Here is a 25077-nt window from a genome sequence, read left to right on the forward strand (position 1 = left end):
TTTCCCTGTCAGTGTCCAGCCACTGAGTCTCCTTATTTATTCAGTCCATAGTGTCTTTACATCACCATTCTCTGCACTTTTCCTATAAACTGTCTCATATTATTTAAAGGTGTAAGGGGTTCAGTGATGCATCTTGCGGAAGAATCTCTGCAGAGGAAAATGGTCTTTTAAGTAAAGAAGGATACTGGTTTGCTTAAATAACCTTGTCACATAAGCAGTGCTGTGCTTACCTGTAAGTTTCAGTTCTTTGTATTACACAGTTGACAATCACAAAATGAGTGCATAAAACAGAGCCAGTGCACACAGCCACTGAGTTTCGGGAGCATTTTGAGATGATCCCTAATTTATTTGTCATTGTCTACAGCCTAGTAAGATCATGCTTCCTTTTCACCTTTCATTTTATCACTGTCTCTAATAAAGGAATACATTAATTTAATCCATAAATACAGATATGATGGTTTTATCCTGTGGCTATGAATAGTGCTTTAAAAGAATCAAAAATGATAAACCAGTGTGGTAATTTACCATAATTCCAAAAATGAAATATTACTTTGAATTAGTCATGGCAGTAATACGTGGATAAGGAACTTTCAGTAAAACCTAAGTGGAAGAGAACAAAGGCAGAGAGGAAACCCAATCTGAGGATGTGTAAGGTTTCTGGCTACTAATCTAGACAGTTGGGAAGAATAAATGCAAGCTGGAGGGCTCGGGAAAAATCTGCCCTGGGAGAAGATGCCCTTGTTTTTTTCTGGAAAGCCCGCCAAGTTTAGGAGACTTGCCACAGTTTAATTAAAGTCTGCCACTGATGTGAAAGCAAAGGAGCAAAAGAAATTAGGGCAGCAGAAAAACTAATGAAAGTCTAGAATCTCATTTTGAACTTTTCTCTCTATTATGCAAGAAATATAACTTGTCAGATGTGTCCCTATTCACCATGACAAAGCCCTCAGGGAAGGAACATTCTGGACTGGGAGGAGAAAAGACCTGTAGTCAGGTCTCTTTTGACTGAACTGTTACTGCCTTTTTCAGTGAAAACTTTTGTTTGTTTTTAAACCAATTTGTAAAAGAGGGCAGCACAGATGGAACAGCTTCCAGCTGAACTACATGAAAGTTGACTGAAACTTTGAGACCATAGACTAGAAAGGAAAGAACAGACCTTGGCAATCAGAGTTGGATTCACAGTTAGGCTTTACCACCTGTATTAATCAGTCTCCAGGGAAACAGAACCAATAGGCTGTATCCAATTTGGACGCTGCTAAGTCCAAAATCCATAGGGCAAGCCAGCAGGCTGAAAATTCGGGTCAGAGTCGCCTGTGGTAGTTTTGAGTCTGAATTCCACAGGGCAGGGCAGGCAGGCTGGAATCTCAGGCAGGCTTTTTATATTGCGGTCTACAGGCTGGATTTGTTCTTCAGAAAACTTCATTCTTTGTTCTTGAGGCCTTCAACTGATTGGATGAGGCCTACCACATTTCGGAGGATAACCTGCTTTGCTCAAAGTCTACTAATTTAAATGTTAATCACAGGCCAGGCATGGTGGCTCATACCTGTAATCCCAGCAGTTTGGGAGGCCAAGGCGGTCGGATTACTTGAGGTCAGGAGTTCGAGACCAGCCTAACCAACATGGTGAAACCCTGTCTGTACTAAAAATACAAAAATTAGCCAGGTGTAGTGGTGGGTGCTTGTAATCCCAGCTACTCAGGAGGCTGAGGCAGGAGAATCACTTGAACCCGGGGGTGGAGGTTGCAGTGAGCCAAGATCACGACAGTGTACTCCAGCCTGGGCAGCAGAGTGAGACTCCATTTCTAAATAAATAAATAAACATTAATCACAACTAAAACGAATATCTTCACAGCAATATCTAGTGTGGTGTTTGACCAAACAACTGGGCACCATCACCTAGCCAAGTTGACACATAAAATTATCTATTAAGAATGATATAATAGTTAATATTTATGTAGCACTCTGTATTTGCCAGGCACAAAGAACTCATTTAATTCTCGCAACAACTCCACGAAGTTGGTGTTATTCTCATTTCATGGATGAGAAAACTAAGATACGGGAAAGTTAAGTAACTTCCCAAGATCACAGATAATAAGATGGAGATCTGGGATCTGAATCCACCTAGCCTAACTCCAGAATTTGGGTTCTTACGCGTCATGATATGACAAATTTATGCAATTAACTTATCTGAGCCTTCATTCTTTTATGGGAAAACATATGTAACAGCAAATAATGTATGTTGAGAGGAGGATTAAGTTAGAAAATGTATATAAGCAGCCTAGCACACTACCTAATATAGAGCAGGAGCTGAATAAATTTAGCTCTCTTCCCCTCCTTTAAAATTGTTAGCATTTTATATCTTACATCTGGAAGCCCTTTCACTTTATAAAGCCTCGTCAAAAAATGATATTAAATATTATTATTTTTGTAATTATTTGTTTAATATTAATTTATCCAGATTGTCTCTAAAATTCATTTGGGCTAGAACCTGTATTATTACATGCTATTCCTCAGCACTAAGCTTGGCATGTAGTAAGTTATTTAATTCATTAAATGAATCAGTGAATAGAGTTAGAAATTGATGATTTTTATTCTCAGTTAGCAGATGAGAAACTGAGGCACAGAATAATCAAATGACTTTCCTTAGGGGTATACAATTTATGGTCAAGTGTGGAGTAACATATTTAGGCCTCCAGAGTTTCCCAATTTAATTTTTTTAATTCAAGAAAGCAGTGTCAGATATCAGCAGAGGCATATACAACCTTAAGGTTCTATTGGTCTCCTTGCCCAGTTGAAGTCTCAGAAACCTTAAATAAAATTCTAGTGTTGAACAATACAAACCTCCGTGCTTGGGTTCTATGAATGGGTCTTGATCAGTTTCTGAGAGCTGTTGACTCCAAAAACCTTCATTTGGAGTGGGCTTTCTCAGATCAGGCAGATGAATAGCTCTGGAGATCAGTAATTAAGGGGTCAGTGATTCACACAAAACAATTCCACATTTAGACACACATTTAGACTTTCTTCAAAAGGAAAAGGAAAAACCCACTTCTTTTTCCAGCTTTCATTCCTCCTGCTTTCTCACTTTCCTGGAAACTGATGAGAAGTACTTCTGTAATTTAAGCCTAATGACAAAGTGCAAAGTCATTACCCACTTTTATTAAATTGTCTTCTGTTTTATAGACCAATTGAAGGAATGACACATTACCACAGAAATTTGTGTGCTCATCCCCCGCCAGCCGTTCCTCCTCCTGCCTTGGGTTTGCTGTCTTGGCTATGGAAGACTGATCTTGGACTCAGAAATACAGTACAAGGGACCACTTCTAGCCTGGACACTTACATGATGAGTGACTTTGGACAAATGATCAAACCTCTCTGTCTCACATGCTCACATATAAAAAGTGGGCAATAATTTCTACCCTGACTCCTTCATAGAGAAATCAGATTTTAATGAGGTGATTTATGTGAGAGTCATTTGACTAAGACAAACATAGATAAAACAAGATAGTGTACCAACATAAACTGCCATTATTATTGCTACAGAATTTTTTAAAGGGAAATATATCTTGCTTGGTGTTGAGTTTCCTATACACATTAAATAAAAAGTCTAGATTTTAAGTACAAACAAATAGATAAGTAACTTACAATCTTTCAGAAATTACAGTAGTCCCCATTTATCTGCAGCAGATACATTTCAAGATCCCCCAGTAAATGCCTGAAACTGCAGACAGTACCACACACTATATATGCTATGTTTTTTACCATACGTACGTACCTGTGATAAAGTCTAATTAATAAATTAGACACAGTAAGAAATTAACAATAATACCTACTAATAAAACGGAACAACTATAACAATATGCCAGCACCACTATTCTTGTGCTTTGAGGCCATTATTAGGTAAAATAAGTGTTACTTGAACACAAGCACTGTGATCCTGGGACTGCCAATCTGATAACCAAGAGGGCTGCTAAGCAACTAACGGGCAGTAGTTACAGCATGCATATGCTGGACAAAGGGAAGGTTCGCTTCTTGGGCAGGACAAAGAGGAATGGCTCAAAATTTCCTCATGCTACTTAGAACAGCAGGCAATTTAAAACTTATGAATTGTCTCTTTGGAATTTCCCTTTCAATATTTTCAACCTTGGTTGACCACAGGTAACTGAAGCTGTGTAAAGTAGAACCTCAGATAATGGATAACCAGGGACTACTGCACCTTCTTCTGGTCATTCTAACTTATCTTAGAACACTGTGATAGTTAATACTGAGTGTCAACTTGATTGGATTGAAGGATGCAAAGCATGGTTCCTCGGTGTGTCTGTGATGGTACTGCCAAAGGAGATTAACATTTGGGTCAGTGGGCTGGGAAAGGCAGACCCACCCTTAATCTGGGTATGCACCGTATAATCAGCTGCCAGCAAATATAAATCAGGCAAAAACAAAACAAAATAAAACAAAAACCACACACATACACACACACAAAAGGTGAAAAGGCTATACTGGCTTAGCCTCCCAGTCTACATCTTTCTCCCATGCTGGATGCTTCCTTCCCTTGAACATCAGACTTCAAGTTCTTCAGCTTTGGGACTTGGACTGGCTCTCTTGCTCCTCAGCTTGCAGGTGGCCTATTGTGGGACCCTGTGATCATGTGAATTTAATACTCCTTAATTAACTGTCTCTCTCTATATATTTATATATGTATAGCTAATATATACATATACTATATATATATTAGGATGAATATATATCCTATTAGTTCTGTCCCTCTAGAGAACCCTGACTAATATAAACACCAAAGTTCCAATCAGTCACTTCTTAACTCCATTTCTTGGTCCCTATAATATATACCTTCATTACCATTTCCACTGCCACTACCTCATTTCAAAACAGTTGTTTTCCAAGAGGCCTTTCTGTTTCCTCACTGTCTTAGACTGATCTTTATAATGGCTTTCCATTGCCTAGGGAAAATTTCAAATCTCTTAGCCCCCTACAATTGAGACTTACCAAGACATTATTGCCTTATATTTGAGTTTCTATAAAGAAACCTTCTACCCCAGAAAATTTGATAGTTTCACTATTCCTAGAAAATAACTTGTTCTGTTTTCAGCTAGCTCATATTAGTTCTATGGAATGCTGTGCCTTGCCATTTCCCATATAAAACCTTTCCTCTTTCTTTCAGAACTTTTCTGCATTACCCTTCTGCAGAGTGACTTCTTATTGACTGAATTGTATCAACTATAAGCCACCATATTTATTCATGTGTTTTATATATCAGGCGTCGTGTTTCACACATCATTATATCTACTATGCTAGCAAAGTGACTGGCATATAATAAATATTTAAGTAATAGCCATTGATAACATAACTTTTCTCTATCTGTTCTAGAATCTCTTCATTTTAGACAACAAAACTAAGAAAATAATTTGTTTTAAAGCACAGAAAATGCAACCTAACCAATGTATGTTCATTTTTAAAAAATTGTAGTAATAAAATTCACCCATTTTAAGAGTACAGCGCTTTGACAAATGTTTATAATTTATATTGGTATATGAATGTATATAATGTCAAAATTATATACATTTAACAAATGTATATAACAGTCACTATAATTGAGACAGAATATTTTCATTCTTCCTCCATTAACATCCCCTAGAAATTACTGATTTTTATTTTTCTGAGTAGTATTACATTGTATAGATATTCTCGACATTTGAGTTCTTTCTATTTTTGGCTACTATAAATATAGCTGAAATGAATATTCCTGTACAGGTTTTTGTATAGAAATATGTTTTTATCAGTCTTGGATAAATACCTAGGAATGTAATTGCTAAGTCATATAGTATTTGTTTAACTTACAAACAAAATAATTTACAAACACAAAATGGGGCAGGCATTTTCATTAAAAAAAACCTGGCAATATATGAGAGTTCTAGGTGCTCCACTGCCTTGTCAACACTTCATATTGTCAGTCTTTGTAACTTTCATCATTCCAGTGGGCATGAAGTAGAATCTCGTAATTTTAATTTGTGTTTTTCTAATAATAAAGATGTTTAGCCTCTTTCTATGGGCTTATTTGTCCTCTGTATGTCTTATTTAATTAAGCCTCTGTTAACATTATTTGCTCATTTTTATGTGACTTTTGTCTTTTTATTATTGAATTTTAAGAATTCTTCATAAATTTTATGGCTTTTTTTGTAATATTCAAAGTGTTTTTTTTCTAGTGTATTATTCCTGGTCTGTGCCTACCATTTTATTTTCTTAACATTTTCTTTTAATGAGAAAAATACAATGTTGATAAATTATAATTTATCATTTGTTTTCTTTATGGTTGAGCTATCTAAAAAGTTTTTATGAAAGCCAAAGTTTCAAAGATTTCCTTCTATGATTTCTTCTAGATGTTTTACAGTTTTAGCTATTACATATTATGCTACATTAAGGGTCAAAGTTTATTTGTTTGTTTGCATCTATTCCAGCACAATTTGTTTTAAGCATTATTCTTTACCATCATATTACCTTGGTTTCTTTCATTTTCTTTTTTTGAGACAGTGTTTCACTCTGTCACTCAGGCTGGAGTACAGTGGCACAATCTCAGCTCACTGCAACCTCCGCCTCCTGGGTTCAAGCAATTCTTCTGCCTCAACCTCCTGAGTATCTGGGAGTACAGGCATGCACCACCACACCCAGCTAATTTTTGTATTTTTAGTGGAGATGGGGTTTCACCATTTTGGCTTGGCTGGTCTCGAACTCCTGACCTCAGGTGATCTGCCCGCCTTGGCCTCCCAAAGTGCTGGGATTACAGGCGTGAGCCACTGCGCCCAGCCTATCTTGGTTTCTTTTTCAAAATTCAACTGACTATATGTGTGTGTATTTGTGTTTATTTATGTATTCTTTGTTCTATTTCATTTATTTGTCTACCCTTACTCTCATATCTCACTGTCTTGATTACTGTAAACATATATTAAACTTTGAAATCAGGTATTCAAATCCTTCAACTTTGTTTTTTTTTTCCAAAAAAACCTTTTATTTGCATTTTTATATACAATGTAGAAGCAGTTCATTAATTTTTTTTTTTTTTTACAAAAGTCCACTGGATTTTATTTCTTTATTTCTTTTTTTTTTTTTTTTTGAGATGGAGTCTTGGTCTGTCACCAGGCTGGAGTGCAGTGGTGCGATCTTGGCTCACTGCAACCTCAGCCTCTCGGGTTTAAGTGATTCTCTTGCCTCAGCCTCCTGAGCAGCTGGGACTACAGGTGCACGGCACCACACTCAGCTAATTTTTGTATTTTTAGTAGAGACATGGTTTCAACATGTCGGCCAGGATGGTCTCGATCCTTTGACCTTGTGATCCTCCTGCCTCGGCCTCCCAGAGTGCTGGGATTATAGGCGTGAGCCGCAGCGCCAGGCCTCCACTGGATCTTTGATTGGACTTCTAAAATGTTATATATTTTCAAATATATTTATTGTTAAATTGTCATATACAATGTATTTACATTGTACAACGTGATGCTTTGAAGTACATTGTGGGATGGTTAAACCTAGCTAATTAACAAATGCATTACCTCATATAGCTATCACTTTTTTGGTGAGAACACTTAACCGTCACTCTGTTAGCATCTCTCAAGAATACAATATATTATTATTAACCATAGTCACCATACTGTACAATATATCTCTTAAACTTATTGAATATCTCTAACTATATATATGTTTCCTTTAATCAACATTTTCCCATTCATCCCTACCCTGCTAACTGCCTCAGCCTGTGATAACCACTATTCTATTCTCTACTTCTATCTGATCAACTTTTTTAGATTCCCCACATAAATGGAATCACGCAGTATTTTGTTTCTATGCCTGGCTTACTTACCATAATGTTCTCCACGTTCATCCAAGTTGTCCCAAAGGATACAATTTCCTTATTATTTATGGCTGAACAGTACTACATTGTATATATATATTTTTTTTCTTTATCCATTCATTTGTTAATGAACCCTGAGTTGATTCCATGTTTTTTTATTTTTTATTTTTTGGCTCTTGGGAATAGTGCTGCAATTAACCTGGGAGTACAGATATCTCTTCAATGTACTGATTTCATTTCCTTTGGCTCTATACTCAGCAGTGCGTTTTCTGAGTCATATGGTAGTTCTATTTTTAATTTTTTGAGGAATCTCCATACTGTTATCTATAGTAGCTGTGTTAATTTACATTCCCACCAAGAGTATGCAAGGGCTCCCTTTTCTTCACATCCTTGCCAACACTTGTTATCTTTTGTCTTTTTGGTTGTAGCCATTCTAATAGGTGTGAGGTGGTAGTTCATTATGATTTTGATTTGCATTTGCCTGAATAATTAGTGATGTTGAACATTTTTTCATATACTTGTTGGCCATTTTTATATTTTCTTTTGAAAAAAGTCTATTCAGGTCTTTTGCTCATTTTTAATTGGGTTGTTTTCTTGTTATTGAGTTGTTTGAGTTCCTTATATTTTAGATATTAACCCCTTAACAGATGTATAGTTTGCAAATGTTTTGTCCCATTCTGTAGCTTGTCTCTTTACTTTGTTTTTTGTCTCCTTTGCTGGGCAGAAGCTTTTTAGTTTGTTGTAGCCCCGTTTGTCTATTTTTGTTTTTGTTGCCTGTGCTTTTAAAGGCATATCCAGAAAATCATTGCTCAAAACAATGTCATGGAGCTTTCTCCTTATGTTTTCTTTTAGTACAGAAACAATTTGGGGATAGCTGATTTTAATGTTTAACAGCATTGAATCTTTTCATTTTTTTCTTTTTAAACATTGAGTCTTTGGATATGCTCATTTAGGTATCTTAAAAATTTCTGTCAGAGATGTTTTGTAGTTTCCATTGCACAGGCTTAACACGTATTTTGTTAAGTTTGTCCCTATGTATTTCTTGGTTTGCGATGCTATCTTAGGTGGTGTTATTTTTCTTTTATTTCAATTTGCTTTTGTTCATTGATTATATATTGAAATGCAGTTGATTTTTTGTAATGCCTTATGTTCTTTGATGTTTCTTACCTCATGTATTAGTTCTAGTATCTTTTTAATAGATTTCTTGAGAATTTTAATGTAAACAGTTAGGTTTAAACACAGGTTTACGGCTTTCTTTTAAATCTATATGTTTGTATATCTTTTTCTTGCCTTATTGTGATGGTTTTGACTTCTAGTACAATATTGAACAAAATGGTGAAAGTGTATATCTTTGTCTTGTTTTAATCTTAAGGGGAAAGCATTGAGCATTACATGTGATGTACCTCTAGGTTTTTGTAGGTGTCCCATATTAGATGTTACTTTTATTCCCATTTTGCAGAAATATTTTTGCACTCTGCATGGATATTACATTTTTAGTTGCTTTTCCTATATTGAATGAAAAGAGCATTTAGCTTTTCTATTTTAGTTTGTGTATATATATAGAGAGAGAGATATTGTTTAATTTTAAATGTTGAAGCAGTCTTATATTCCTAAAATAAACCCCACTTGGTCATGATGTGTTAATTCTTTCTTTGCATTGGTAGATTCAACTTGCTGAAAGTTTTTCAGAGGTCATTTACATCTATATTCTGACACTGGTCTATAGGGGTGTGTGTGCGATGTTTTCATCTGGTTTTGCTATCGGGTTTTGCTGGCCCCATAAAACTGGGTAGTTTTTCCTTCTTTTCAATTTCTTGAAATGATTTGAGTATAATTGGTGTAATTTCTTCCTTAAGTATTTATCTTTTCTCTAGTGAAGCCATTTTGGCTTAAAATTTTCATTATGGTAGAAATTTTCACAATAAATCTCATTTATTTAAATATGTCTTAGACATATTTGTATTATCATATTTGTATTAGACATATTTGTAGACTATTTGTATTATCTGTTTCTTCTAGAGTTAGCTTTGTTGTTTTGTGTTTTTGAAGAAATGTATCTATTTTTTCCCTAAACTGTTGAATTTATTGGCATAGAGATTGTAATTTTTTTTTTAGAATTTGAATTGAACCCTTTTTAAAATATATGGTTTTCATTTCTCTAGTAAATTTCCTTTTGTGTTCATTCATGTTGTCTATCTCTTTCACTAGATCCTGCAATCGTATTTATCATAATTTTAATCATAACAATTTTAAAGTCCCTTTCTAATAGTTTCAAGTTCTAGATTATTTTTGGTTCGTGTTCTCTGTCAATTGTTTTGTTTATTGCAATGTGACTTTTTTTATTGGTGTGTGTATCCGTGTGTGTGTATATGTGTGTGTATTTGTAACGTTTTATTGAAGGCCAAACATTATTTCTAAAAGGACAGAAAAGGCTGAGATAAATTTTATTTACATTCAGAATGTTTTTTCTTCTCTTAGCCTATTAGTATGGTTGAGTGAACTCAGTTGGTGACTAAATTGTGTTTGGGTTTTGCTGTTGCTATAGTTATTGTCAGCGCTCTGCAAGTTTCCAATTCCGCCAGTTGTGGACTGACATTACTTTGCTCTTATTTTGAGGCCTAAAGTGCTAGATTTTTCTTAGTGTTCTTTCTTTACTCTCCCCTTTCAGAGACGCTGTGGTGAGTCTCTGTTTCTGAGCTCTCGCCAATCCCCCAGTGGTAAACTGCAGCCCATCATTACGCGGTGAAAAGCTCCTAATCGGGGCAGGAAGTTTTCTTGGTTCCTTCCTTGGTTCTTCAACCTCTGTATTAGGCAGGCAGGTCTATGTGCCTAGATCTCAGGAGTAAGGCTTTTTCAATGTTATTGCCCCTTCCCTGGTGGCAGGAAACCTCCAATTTCTCCTGATTTCGGGGCTTAACGCACAGGTTGAGGTCTTTACATTTTCCTGGATGGCAACTAAACTCTCCCATGTATTGTTGGAAAGATGAGTGGGAAGGACAAGATTCTTGGCCTTCCCCGACAGTAGCAGACTTCTGCTTTGTCTTAGTGAATGATCCTGGGCATGAGTGAGTTTTCTTCCCCTCTGCAGCAGCTGAGAATTTGTGCCTGGTGTCTATGTAGGGTGTTGGGAGCAGGTTTTTTATGCTTTCCCTAGTAGTGGCCAAATTTGCTTAGACTGAGAACACAAGGATTTCCTACCCTGCGCATTAGTGAATGGCTTTTTCCTTGTTTTAAAGTAGACTTACACAGCAGGGATAGGTCTTTCTTCACCCCCAGTACCCACTGATTTTTTCTTCTTATCTGTGTATCTGTGAAGGTCAGGACTAGATCATGTTTTGTTTCTGCCCCTAGCAGCAACCCATCACCACCTTGTACTCATATACGTCCCAGCGTGCAATGGGTTTCTCAAAATACTGCTTATACCCACAAATCTTGTAAGAACCTACACAGTTATCCTACCAAGAGAGACTCCCTCAGGTCTCCCATGTCCTCAGTCTTTCACATGAATGCGTGGCAGAGGTCTGTGTAAAACAAATGGTGAGTGACTATAGACTCATGTGAGGTTCCAAGATTGTAACCTGTCATACTAACCTATAGGAGGCATAGTTGTTTCCTATTGCTGCTGCAACAAATTACCATAACACAGTGCTTTAAAATAACACAGATTTAATGTTGTACAGCTCTAAAGATCAGAAGTCTCAAATAGGTCTCATTCCCTTAAACTAAAATGTCATCAGGGCTGCATTCCTTCTGGAGACTCTAGAGGAGAATTTATCGTCTTGCCTTTTCTAGCTTCTAGGGACTACCCACATTCCTTGGCTCATGTCTGCTTCCTCCCTCTTCAAGTCCAGGAGGGTAGCATCTTTACCTGTAACTCTTCTGCCTCCATCTTCCAATTATGACCCTTGTGACTATACTGGGTCTACCAGATAATCCAAGATAATCTCCTCACCTCCAGGTAAAATGATTAACAACCTTAACTGTATCTGCAACCATAATTCTTTGCCATGTAATCTAACATATTCACAGGCTATGGGGATTAAGACATAGACATACTCAGAGGAGGAAGTGAAGGTATTATTCAACCACCCACATTAGGTCTTACAGATATCAATACAGTTTCTTTTTTTACTTACTTTTATGACTTCCACGTCTTCTTCTCCTGCTTTACCAAAGGTAAAATAACTCATCTGTCCTAAATCTTACATTTTGCCATCCTTTGGAATTCAACTCTGATGGGCTCAAAAATTATGCTTGCATATATCTACATTTTTCGTAGTTTTAGGGTGAGAGCCATGTTCTCTGCAGCTTGCATAACCTAAGCAAATGCAGAACTCCTCTCAAAGCCTTTCCTATTAAAAAATATTCAAGTTGTAAACCACGAAATTCTGAAATGTTCCTATTATATAAACTCATGCTGAACCATATAATTTAAGGATAATTGGTCAAAAGAGAAGAAGAGTTTGTAAACATATAATATAAATTCACAACAAATTCCTCTGACACAAAGTGAACTGTATTTTAGGGATGCCTCTCTGCTTTTACATACTTCAGTCTAATTAAATTAAGTTCGGCGATACTTATGGGGAATGCAGATATCCAAAAGTTTCTAAGACTCGCGAAATCTTTAGTCTAAACAATCTACAAACCCACTATTTAGTTCTTACTATGTGAAATCTTTTCCAGAAATTTCTCTCTTTTTTGTTTCAAATGTCCATTTCCATGTGCCCTTTGAATTTGTGACACAGCATTTTAAATATAAATTTAGAAGTAATTTTATATCATCTTTACTTCTTTTGTCAAAAATATTTTTAGTAAAGCCTCCAGGTTTCTGCCCTACATGACAGACCCTAATGCAGTTAAATTGAGCTTGAATTTCTCCAACCACCTATCCTCTTCTCTGTTTCTGGTTCTCTTTATTCTTGTTCCTCACCTGCTTTTTAATGTTCATACTGCAGGTGTCCAATTGTATATCTTCAAGTGCTCATTTCATATTTTCTGTTGCTGCCCTTGCTCCCAAACTCAACATCCCAAGACTTAATGATGTCCATATCTCAAGCTTTCCATAGGAAGCTTTATGTTTGGTAAAGCAGAATTGATCACTTAATTTTTACTCATGTGGCTTAACTCTGTTTCCCAAAATTCATATGTTGAAATCCTAATCCCCAGTTCCTCACAATGTGACTAGATTTGGAGAAAGACTGTTTAGAGAGGTAATTAAGTTAAAATGAGGTTATTAGGATAAGCCCTAATTCAACATGACTGATGTCCTTAATTATAAGAAGAGAAGGAAGAGAAGGACAAAGGCATGCCCAGAGGGAAGACCATATGAAGACACAGAAAGCAGAAAATGACTGTCTAGAAGCCAAGGAGAGCGGCCTCAGGAGAAATCTACCCTGCCAACATCTTGATCTCAGACTTCTAACCTCAATAATTGTGAGAAAATAAGTTTCTGATGTTAGGAAAACCAGTCTGGTACCTTGTTATAAAAACCCTAGCAAACTAATATATCATCCTTTAAAACTATGCACAGGTTTAGCTCCTCTTGGAAGCCTTCACTGATCTTCTGTCTGGGTCAGATGGCTCTTTTTTCTGTGCATCCATAAATGCTGCAATAAATATATATGATTATTTCTCACATTTCATTGCCATTGTGTGCTTCTTTGTCCCATAAACTCTATCTTTGAATTTCCAGCATCTAACAGAGTCCTTGATATGTAAAAAGCAGCTAAATGTAGGCATTGAATTAATGAACATCCTATCTTCTACAATAGACTGTGACCCTTTGAACATATGATAAAAATCTTATTCACCTTTTTGTTTGAGTGTACCTTAGACTCTAAGTGGTACTAATTAGTTACATTCCTCAATCCATGACACAGTATCATTAATTGTCTGCACACGTGCTCTCTTATTTAATAATCTGTTCCCCATTAGTGCCCATTTTCCCTTCCATTTTACACTTTACCTCTGTAAATAACAACTCTGACATACTTAATGTGTACATTCATCTGTGTTTATTCTTGAAAAATGTATACTTAAAAAAATTCACATGCACTTTAATATAAATGTGATATTGTGTTATAAATCACAAACGTATCTTACTTTTTTTCTTTAACAGTGCTTTTAAGGTCCATTCATATTGTTATCTGTACCTCTAACCAACTGTTTCTAACAGCTACATCCTTGCATTGTATGTCCGTGTGTGTCAGTGTGTGTTTATCCTCAGCACCTAGACCAGTGCCTAAGGCAATGTAGGGTACTTAACTGTTAAAAAAAAATGTATAAAAGGTATCATATTCACCCAATATTGCTGGTGATGTTGTCCTTGCAATTTCTACATCAAAATCTCCTTCATATCCATCCTTTTCTTTTCTGTCCTATTTCCACTATCTTAGATTAGACCCTCTCATCTTCAGATGTGGTTGGTTAGAATATGTCACCAACCCCTTTCTTTCCTGCACTAGAAGCCATTCATCACATTGGAGTCTCATTCATTTTATGAAAACTCCGTGGTCATCATTTCTCTTTCTCCACTAAAAACTTCCACGAGACCACACCGACCTTAGACTAATATCCCTGAGACTGATTTTGAAGGTCTTTCATATCCAGCCTTAGCTCATTTATTTTCCCCTTACTCCTCCCCCAAACAAGCTATTTTTATCCACCTTAAATACCCCATACTTCCTGACTCTGCTCCCTTTTTTGTTCCTTCTCCACTTGTCTAAATCCCTACAGTCTTTACAAAAAAACAGCTCATGTAAAATGTCCCCATGAAGTTTTCTCTGTGGCTGCATGTTTTGTTCACTGACTTACAAGAATACCGAGGAGACTGTGTGGTGTGAGAGAGTCAGTAAGGCATTGCAGAAATCGTATTGCATTTGGAGACCTAGACTTAGAATACCAGTTTGGCATTTAATATCAGTGAGTTTGTGGGAAAATCACAAAGCTCCTTAAGCTTCCTTTTCCTTATCTGTAAAATAGGAATATTAATTATAACTTTATATAGAGTGTAGTGATTGAATGAGGCACTTTGCGTAAAACATCTGCCGCATAATAAGCATTCAATACGTAGCAGCTGCTATCATCATGAGTGCTGCCTCTATCGTTCATTTGGCATCTAGCATATGCCACCGTGTGTTACTATTTAACTACTTTATGGTTTTATATCTGTCTCCTGTAAAAGTGGCTTTTAGAGATGTGCTGTGTCTTACACTTATTTTGTATGTCCCAGAGTGGTAATCACAGTGATGGTGTCTTCCCATGTATTAAAAAAATTAAGAACCTCATCCCTTGAAAAATTCATTTCAATAGTATGTCTTGTTACTTTAAGTATATAGAGTTAACTGTATATTACCAACATTAATAAAGTGTTGCTACATAGAGATCCTCCTGGATTAATTTGGCACATTCCATTGAGGAACACTTTACACTACTACCCTGTTGCCTGGATGTCATCATTTGAAACTTAACAAGGGACTCGGACCATCTCTTGGGGTGATAATGGGTTCTTGGGTCCCCTCACCTCAACCATGCTGAATAAGATTTTATAATTTGTGGCATAAGCATAAATTATAAGCACATCAGTTGATTCCTAATCACCACAGAGCCTGAGACCCCTCTATATAGGAGAGGAAACATTTGTTATGGAAACACAGGCCTAAATGCTCAGCTTTGAGCCATATCCTTCACCTCTATGAACCTCAGTTTATTTTTTAAATATAAATTATCATAGTTCTTCCTCATACAGCTTGTAGAGAAAGCTCTATAAGCTAATCTTATCTTAGCTGATCATCTCATCATCTTAGCTCATCATCTGGTAGGTAGCCATTGCCTAAAACTGTAGTTAATTTTATCCTTGTTAAATTGGAGGATGTGATGACTGTGTCTTTCCCATAACCCTCCTGTCCCCCTGTTCTGAGGAAGATGTTTCCTCCTATAGTAGCTAAATCCTTGTTATTCAAAACATAGTCTTTGGACTAGCAGCTTGGGTAGCCCCTGGGAGCTTGTTAAAAATGCAGTCCCAGGCCCCATGGCTAGAAAACTGACTCCGAATTTGCATTGTAACAAGAATATTTAGGTCATTGGAAGGCACATTAAAGTTTGGAAAGCACGGGTCTAAATAAGCTTCTAAATCAGTAGGTTGGGGTCTAGGGAGGAACCTAGGACTCTGATTTTTCATGAGCTCCCAGATAGTGCTGTTAACCCATTAATTGCTCTTAGAGTAGCCTGTTTAGATCGCTGTTTTCAGACTTGACTATGCATTGGAATCAACTTGGCAGGAAGCTTCAGAAAACAGAAATTACTGGTTTTGGCCAGGTGGAGAGGCTCACGTCTGTAATCCCAGCACTTTGGGAGACAGAGGCAGGTGGACCACTTGAGGTCAGGAGTTTGAGACCAGCCCAGCCAATATGGTGAAACCCCATCTCTACTAAAAAACAAAAAATAGCCTGGTGTGGTGGCACATGCCTGTAGTCCTAGCTCCTCTGAAGGCTGAGGCAGGAGAATTACTTCAACCTGGGAGCTGGAGGTTGCAGGGAGCTGAGATGACACCACTGCCTTCCAGCCTGGGTGACAAAGTGAGACTCCATCTCAAAATAAATAAATAAATAAATAAATAACATTACTGGTTTCTACTCTCAGGTATTTAATTGGAATGGGGTGCAGTCTCAGCATCAAAACTTCTAAACTCAGAATTATGTGTGTGTTGTCAGCTGTGTGTTCATTTGAACACACAGAAAAGTTTGAGGGCCACTGCTGTAGATTAATTTGGTTGAATTTTTTTCACACATAAATTAAAAGTAGCATTTCAAGCAAGGCACTGTGTAAATTATATTTTAAAAACCCACATTGGTGAGATTTTACTAGAGATATTTTGACAGAAAAACATGTAAACATGTATATGTACAAACACAGACATATAGATCAGTTTAAATCCTTTTAACTCCCGACTGTCTTGTGTAACAAGAACAAAACAAAGTTGAAAGCCTGTGAAAGATATTATTCCAAGATGGAGTTAGGGCACAGAGTGAAGTGGAAATAGCTTAGAAGGAAGCTTCACTGAGTGTTTGAAGCATTAGGGAATCTGCATACTGTTTTCTGCATCACCAGATTATCAATTATTAGCATATCAGAATTCAGGTTGAGCCAGATAGATTGTTAACTATGTCATATTTGATTGTTGCAATATGTTCCAAATCATGGCTGCCAGAGGGTGTATCTTGCTGACTTTGGCATCTTCCTTCCTAAATCTCAAAAGAATGATAGAGGGATATATTTTTTCAAAATGTAAGCAAAGAATTTATTTAGAAACAAGTGACATTTTAGTGGGTGAACATGTGTACAAATAGTCCACCTATTGATAAGACTTGTAAAAATTCTTATTGGAAGTTTCACCATTAAAAGAGATTGTAGCATCACATTAGGGTAGACAAATATTTTCCAGTTTTCAGCAAAAGCAATATATTTTCAGTAAAAGACATTAGATGACACATAATTACTCTAAAAATTCAGTAGCTGACAATACCATAGATACACCCCTCATATGACATCAAGGCTAGGAAGAAACTGCATCAACTAACGAGCAAAATAACCAGCTAACATCATAATGACAGGACCAAATTCACACATAACAATATTAACTTCAAATGTAAATGGGCTAAATGCTCCAATTAAAAGACACAGACTGGCAAATTGGATAAAGAGTCAAGACCCATCAGTGTGCTGTATTCAGGAAACCCATCTCACGTGCAGAGACACACATAGGCTCAAAATAAAGGGATGGAGGAAGATCTACCAAGCAAATGGAAAACAAAAAAAGTCAGGGGTTGCAATCCTAGTCTCTGATAAAACAGACTTTAAACCAACAAAGATCAAAAGAGAGAAAGAAGGCCATTACATCATGGTAAAGGGATCAATTCAACAAGAAGAGCTAACTATCCTAAATATATATGCACCCAATACCGGAGCTCCCAGATTCATAAAGCAAGTCCTTGGTGACAGTAATCCCAAGTTTAAAAATATGTCCCATAATTTTGTTCATTCACATTAGCTATTATTATACCAGAAGACCACTTTGAATGTGCCCAGTATGTTTTCACTTTTTAAAAACAGAATTGATACTCAACTCCATGGGAAAAGCAATTACAAAATAAGTTTTATCCATTCATTCAAAAATATGTATGGAATGCCTACTATGTGCTAGGTACTTTCAAAAGACATGAAATAAACTTCTCTTCTACACACTTAATTTTAAACTTCCTTCATTCAAAGTGCTGTTGTGGGCAATGGATGATGTTAATAGTAATAAACATTTGATGAGAACTGAAATGCATCAAGCACTGTGCTAGATCCTTCATGATCATCACCTCTTTTTTTAATATTATTATTATTATTATACTTTAAGTTCTGGGGTACATGTGCAGAAAGTGCAGGTTGGTTACAATGGTATACACGTGCCATGGTGGTTTGCTGCACCCATCAACTTATCATCTATATCAGGTATTTCTCCTAATGCTATCCCTCCCTTAGCCCCCCACCCCCAGACAGGCTCTGGTGTGTGATGTTCCCCTCCCTGTGTCCATGTGTTCTCATTGTTCAACTCCCTCTTATGAGTGAGAACATGTGGTGTTTGGTTTTCTGTTCCTGTGTTAGTTTGCTGAGAATGATGGTTTCCAGCTTCATCCATGTCCCTGCAAAGGACATGAACTCAACCATTTTTATGGCTGCATAGTATCCCATGGTGTATGTGTGCCACATTTTCTTTATCCAGTCTACCATTGATGGGCATTTGGATTGGTTCCAAGTCTTTGCTATTGTAAACAGTGCTGTAATAAACATTCATGTGCATTTGCCTTTGTGGTAGAATGATCTATAATCCTTTGGGTGTATACCCAGTAATGGAATTGCTGCATCAAATGGTATTTCTGGTTCTAGATCCAAGACATTTATGTGGCCAAGAAACATATGAAAAAAAGCTCATCATCATTGGTCATTAGAGAAATGCAAATCAAAACCACAATGAGATACCATCTCACACCAGTTAGAAAGGCAATCATTAAAAAGTCAGGAAACAACAGATGCTGGAGAGGATGTGGAGAAATGGGAACTCTTTTACACTGTTGGTGGGAAGTGTAAATTAGTTCAACCATTGTGGAAGACAGTGTGGCAATTCCTCAAGGATCTAGAACCAGAAATACTATTTGACCCATGATCGTCATCTCTTTTTTAAGTGACATGGCAACCTTGTGTGGCTGGGACTGGGATAATCCAAGCTTTAGGATGAGGCAACTAAGATGTAGGGAGATTAGGTAACTAGAGAAACAATAGACAGTGGGGTGGGCATTTGATATCTGACACTCTGAACCCAGAACCCAAGTTCCTAAACATGATGGAAGAAGCAAGTGTGTTGCTTGGGCTGAAGCACTCCTCATCCCAGTCAGACTGTATTTGTTGTCAGAGAAAAGTGATTCTTGCTCACATGGAAACTTTTCTGTACTCAGCCTAGGAAATTTCCATGCACAAAAGAAATCGATAGTGTCAATGAGCTCCAGCCAAAGCTCACCTGGAGCACACCAGTGATTGAACAAGTATTGATTATTACTACTTGCAGAGAGAAAGGACAGGCACCGTGGGGAAATCATGCATTGTCTTAGTAAGATGGTATTTAAAAGAACCTATTAAAGGATCTGGGCTTTGGTTGTGTGATAAATAATGATTTAGCAGGCTTATACCCTGCCTCTCTGAACACCTCTTTTCTTCCCTCCATTTACACAATATTATTGCAATCCAATTTTGGTTAAATTAAAAATATATTTACTGTATTTATATGATACATGGTATTGTTCAATTGTAGAGTACCATGATTATATATTCTGACTGGTATTACTTTTTTATATTGCAGTTAATAACTGCCTTTATATAAAATTTTCTTAGTTTTCAATATACTGTTATCACCATTTTTCTGCAAACTCGACAAAAGACGTATAGAACCCTTTAGAATACTTTTTTCTGTAGTAGCTAAGCAAGTATTTCTTCTTCCCTTTGAAACAGTCCTCCATCCTGTGCCTTCCAACCTCCACTTCTACTCTAGAGTGGTGGCATTCTGAATGGTATATTTAAACTTTTGGGATTTTTCTACAGTTCTCCTCTGATTGATCCAGTATTTCCTGGACAAAGTGCCTTTGCCCTTCTTGCTCTATGCCCTAATTTGGGAGAGGCACACTTTCAAGTGATTTCCTGAGAATAAGGCATCAGAGGGAATCTTGAGACCTGAAACATTTCTGAAAGCGTTATTTTCTATCTTCATGCTTGACTGAGAATCTTGCCAGGTATGGCATCATAGGTCAAAACTAAATTTTTCCTCAGAATTTTGAGAGCATTGCTTCATTGTCATTCACCTTCTAGTGTTGCTACTGAAAAATCCTATACTATTCTAATATCTGTTCTTTTGTCTTTGACCTTGTTTGCTTGTTTGTTTGTTGTCTAGAATATTTTATCAACTTATTTTTATCCCTGGTGTTTGAAAACTTCTATTAGAAACCGGGCATTACTATTAGAGACCGGGCATTACATAGCTGATTAGAACACGGGTAGAAATTGTTGAGTGATTGGTTGGAAACCTGGGAATTGCTCTTACGGAAATACCAATTAGCCATATCTCTGAGTCTTTTTCTCTCATGTATTCTTGTTCTGTAGGGATGAAACAAAAGGCTTTACTTATCTTCAGCCAAGATCAGGCCCAGGGTTTGGATGGGTAGTAATTGTTAGGTATGAGGTCAGTCCCAGAATTCTTGGAAACACTTTGTGGGTGGTGGCTGGAGTAACTTCATCTTAACCTCTTTGTTTCTACCACACTGTCTCTCTCCCACTGTGTGCTGTACCTAGTGTTCCCTAGAATGAAACCTCTATGACTTAAAATCTCTCCAGATAAACTCCATGCTGCAGTGGAGAAAGTGAAGTTGCCCAACCAGGTGGAAGAGAGAATGAATCAGGGTACTGACTTTTCTACCAGTGTCCCCATTTTTTTTCTGGTGCTTCACTATTATCTTCTGTGGTATTGGTGCCTCCGAATTCTGGAGGTCTCATTGACTTTGTCCTAATTATCTTCCACTTGTGCAAGCATTTGGGATTCAGGTTTCTTCGAAAAACGAATCTCTTCCTCCACTTCCAGTGTTCTAAAAACTTGAAATACTCTCTCTGGTCTGTTCCTTTGTACATTTATAATTCATTTTTATTTACTTTCTCAAAATTTAGTGCAGTTTCATGAGGGTACAAGGATTAATTCATATATGTAATTGAAATTTTGTGATTGAAAAAGTCTTTACATTGCTCTTAGATCTAAATTGTCTATTGTGGCATAATTAGCAGGCAACATATATATTGACCTTATGGAATGTATGTTAAGTATATAACACATAACAATATATTTTAAGCTGGTAGAGGGAACTCTGTGGTGACTACCAATAAAATTCATCTCATCACAGTGCAAACAATTTCACTACTGATAAGCTGGGTTTTTTTTTCATTCTGTTGAAAACAACCTAGTAATCTTTTCTTTTTTCTTTTTTTTTTTTTTTATTATACTCTAAGTTTTAGGGTACATGTGCACATTGTGCAGGTTAGTTACATATGTATACATGTGCCATGCTGGTGCGCTGCACCCACTAATGTGTCATCTAGCATTAGGTATATCTCCCAATGCTATCCCTCCCCCCTCCCCCGACCCCACCACAGTCCCCAGAGTGTGATATTCCCCTTCCTGTGTCCATGTGATCTCATTGTTCAATTCCCACCTATGAGTGAGAATATGCGGTGTTTGGTTTTTTGTTCTTGCGATAGTTTACTGAGAATGATGGTTTCCAATTTCATCCATGTCCCTACAAAGGATATGAACTCATCATTTTTTATGGCTGCATAGTATTCCATGGTGTATATGTGCCACATTTTCTTAATCCAGTCTATCATTGTTGGACATTTGGGTTGGTTCCAAGTCTTTGCTATTGTGAATAGTGCCGCAATAAACATACGTGTGCATGTGTCTTTATAGCAGCATGATTTATACTCATTTGGGTATATACCCAGTAATGGGATGGCTGGGTCAAATGGTATTTCTAGTTCTAGATCCCTGAGGAATCGCCACACTGACTTCCACAATGGTTGAACTAGTTTACAGTCCCACCAACAGTGTAAAAGTGTTCCTATTTCTCCGCATCCTCTCCAGCACCTGTTGTTTCCTGACTTTTTAATGATTGCCATTCTAACTGGTGTGAGATGATATCTCATAGTGGTTTTGATTTGCATTTCTCTGATGGCCAGTGATGATGAGCATTTCTTCATGTGTTTTTTGGCTGCATAAATGTCTTCTTTTGAGAAGTGTCTGTTCATGTCCTTCGCCCACTTTTTGATGGGGTTGTTTGTTTTTTTCTTGTAAATTTGTTTGAGTTCATTGTAGATTCTGGATATTAGCCCTTTGTCAGATGAGTAGGTTGCGAAAATTTTCTCCCATGTTGTAGGTTGCCTGTTCACTCTGATGGTAGTTTCTTTTGCTGTGCAGAAGCTCTTTAGTTTAATTAGATCCCATTTGTCAATTTTGTCTTTTGTTGCCATTGCTTTTGGTGTTTTGGACATGAAGTCCTTGCCCACGCCTATGTCCTGAATGGTAATGCCTAGGTTTTCTTCTAGGGTTTTTATGGTTTTAGGTTTAACGTTTAAATCTTTAATCCATCTTGAATTGATTTTTGTATAAGGTGTAAGGAAGGGATCCAGTTTCAGCTTTCTACATATGGCTAGCCAGTTTTCCCAGCACCATTTATTAAATAGGGAATCCTTTCCCCATTGCTTGTTTTTCTCAGGTTTGTCAAAGATCAGATAGTTGTAGATATGCGGCATTATTTCTGAGGGCTCTGTTCTGTTCCATTGATCTATATCTCTGTTTTGGTACCAGTACCATGCTGTTTTGGTTACTGTAGCCTTGTAGTATAGTTTGAAGTCAGGTAGTGTGATGCCTCCAGCTTTGTTCTTTTGGCTTAGGATTGACTTGGCAATGCGGGCTCTTTTTTGGTTCCATATGAACTTTAAAGTAGTTTTTTCCAATTCTGTGAAGAAAGTCATTGGTAGCTTGATGGGGATGGCATTGAATCTGTAAATTACCTTGGGCAGTATGGCCATTTTCACGATATTGATTCTTCCTACCCATGAGCATGGAATGTTCTTCCATTTGTTTGTCTCCTCTTTTATTTCCTTGAGCAGTGGTTTGTAGTTCTCCTTGAAGAGGTCCTTCACATCCCTTGTAAGTTGGATTCCTAGGTATTTTATTCTCTTTGAAGCAATTGTGAATGGGAGTTCACCCATGATTTGGCTCTCTGTTTGTCTGTTGTTGGTGTATAAGAATGCTTGTGATTTTTGTACATTGATTTTGTATCCTGAGACTTTGCTGAAGTTGCTTATCAGCTTAAGGAGATTTTGGGCTGAGACAATGGGGTTTTCTAGATAAACAATCATGTCGTCTGCAAACAGGGACAATTTGACTTCCTCTTTTCCTAATTGAATACCCTTTATTTCCTTCTCCTGCCTGATTGCCCTGGCCAGAACTTCCAACACTATGTTGAATAGGAGCGGTGAGAGAGGGCATCCCTGTCTTGTGCCGGTTTTCAAAGGGAATGCTTCCAGTTTTTGCCCATTCAGTATGATATTGGCTGTGGGTTTGTCATAGATAGCTCTTATTATTTTGAAATACGTCCCATCAATACCTAATTTATTGAGAGTTTTTAGCATGAAGGGTTGTTGAATTTTGTCAAAGGCTTTTTCTGCATCTATTGAGATAATCATGTGGTTTTTGTCTTTGGCTCTGTTTATATGCTGGATTACATTTATTGATTTGCGTATATTGAACCAGCCTTGCATCCCAGGGATGAAGCCCACTTGATCATGGTGGATAAGCTTTTTGATGTGCTGCTCGATTCGGTTTGCCAGTATTTTATTGAGGATTTTTGCATCAATGTTCGTCAAGGATATTGGTCTAAAATTCTCTTTTTTGGTTGTGTCTCTGCCCGGCTTTGGTATCAGAATGATGCTGGCCTCATAAAATGAGTTAGGGAGGATTCCCTCTTTTTCTATTGATTGGAATAGTTTCAGAAGGAATGGTACCAGTTCCTCCATGTACCTCTGGTAGAATTCGGCTGTGAATCCATCTGGTCCTGGACTCTTTTTGGTTGGTAAACTATTGATTATTGCCACAATTTCAGAGCCTGTTATTGGTCTATTCAGAGATTCAACTTCTTCCTGGTTTAGTCTTGGGAGAGTGTATGTGTCGAGGAATGTATCCATTTCTTCTAGATTTTCTAGTTTATTTGCGTAGAGGTGTTTGTAGTATTCTCTGATGGTAGTTTGTATTTCTGTGGGATCGGTGGTGATATCCCCTTTATCATTTTTTATTGTGTCTATTTGATTCTTCTCTCTTTTTTTCTTTATTAGTCTTGCTAGCGGTCTATCAATTTTGTTGATCCTTTCAAAAAACCAGCTCCTGGATTCATTGATTTTTTGAAGGGTTTTTTGTGTCTCTATTTCCTTCAGTTCTGCTCTGATTTTAGTTATTTCTTGCCTTCTGCTAGCTTTTGAATGTGTTTGCTCTTGCTTTTCTAGTTCTTTTAATTGTGATGTTAGGGTGTCAATTTTGGATCTTTCCTGCTTTCTCTTGTAGGCATTTAGTGCTATAAATTTCCCTCTACACACTGCTTTGAATGCGTCCCAGAGATTCTGGTATGTGGTGTCTTTGTTCTCGTTGGTTTCAAAGAACATCTTTATTTCTGCCTTCATTTCGTTATGTACCCAGTAGTCATTCAGGAGCAGGTTGTTCAGTTTCCATGTAGTTGAGCGGCTTTGAGTGAGATTCTTAATCCTGAGTTCTAGTTTGATTGCACTGTGGTCTGAGAGATAGTTTGTTATAATTTCTGTTCTTTTACATTTGCTGAGGAGAGCTTTACTTCCAACTATGTGGTCAATTTTGGAATAGGTGTGGTGTGGTGCTGAAAAAAATGTATATTCTGTTGATTTGGGGTGGAGAGTTCTGTAGATGTCTATTAGGTCTGCTTGGTGCAGAGCTGAGTTCAATTCCTGGGTATCCTTGTTAACTTTCTGTCTCGTTGATCTGTCTAATGTTGACAGTGGGGTGTTAAAGTCTCCCATTATTAATGTGTGGGAGTCTAAGTCTCTTTGTAGGTCACTGA

The sequence above is a fragment of the Homo sapiens genome, chromosome 10, assembly GCF_000001405.40.
Source record: "Homo sapiens chromosome 10, GRCh38.p14 Primary Assembly".
Lineage (NCBI taxonomy): Eukaryota > Metazoa > Chordata > Mammalia > Primates > Hominidae > Homo > Homo sapiens.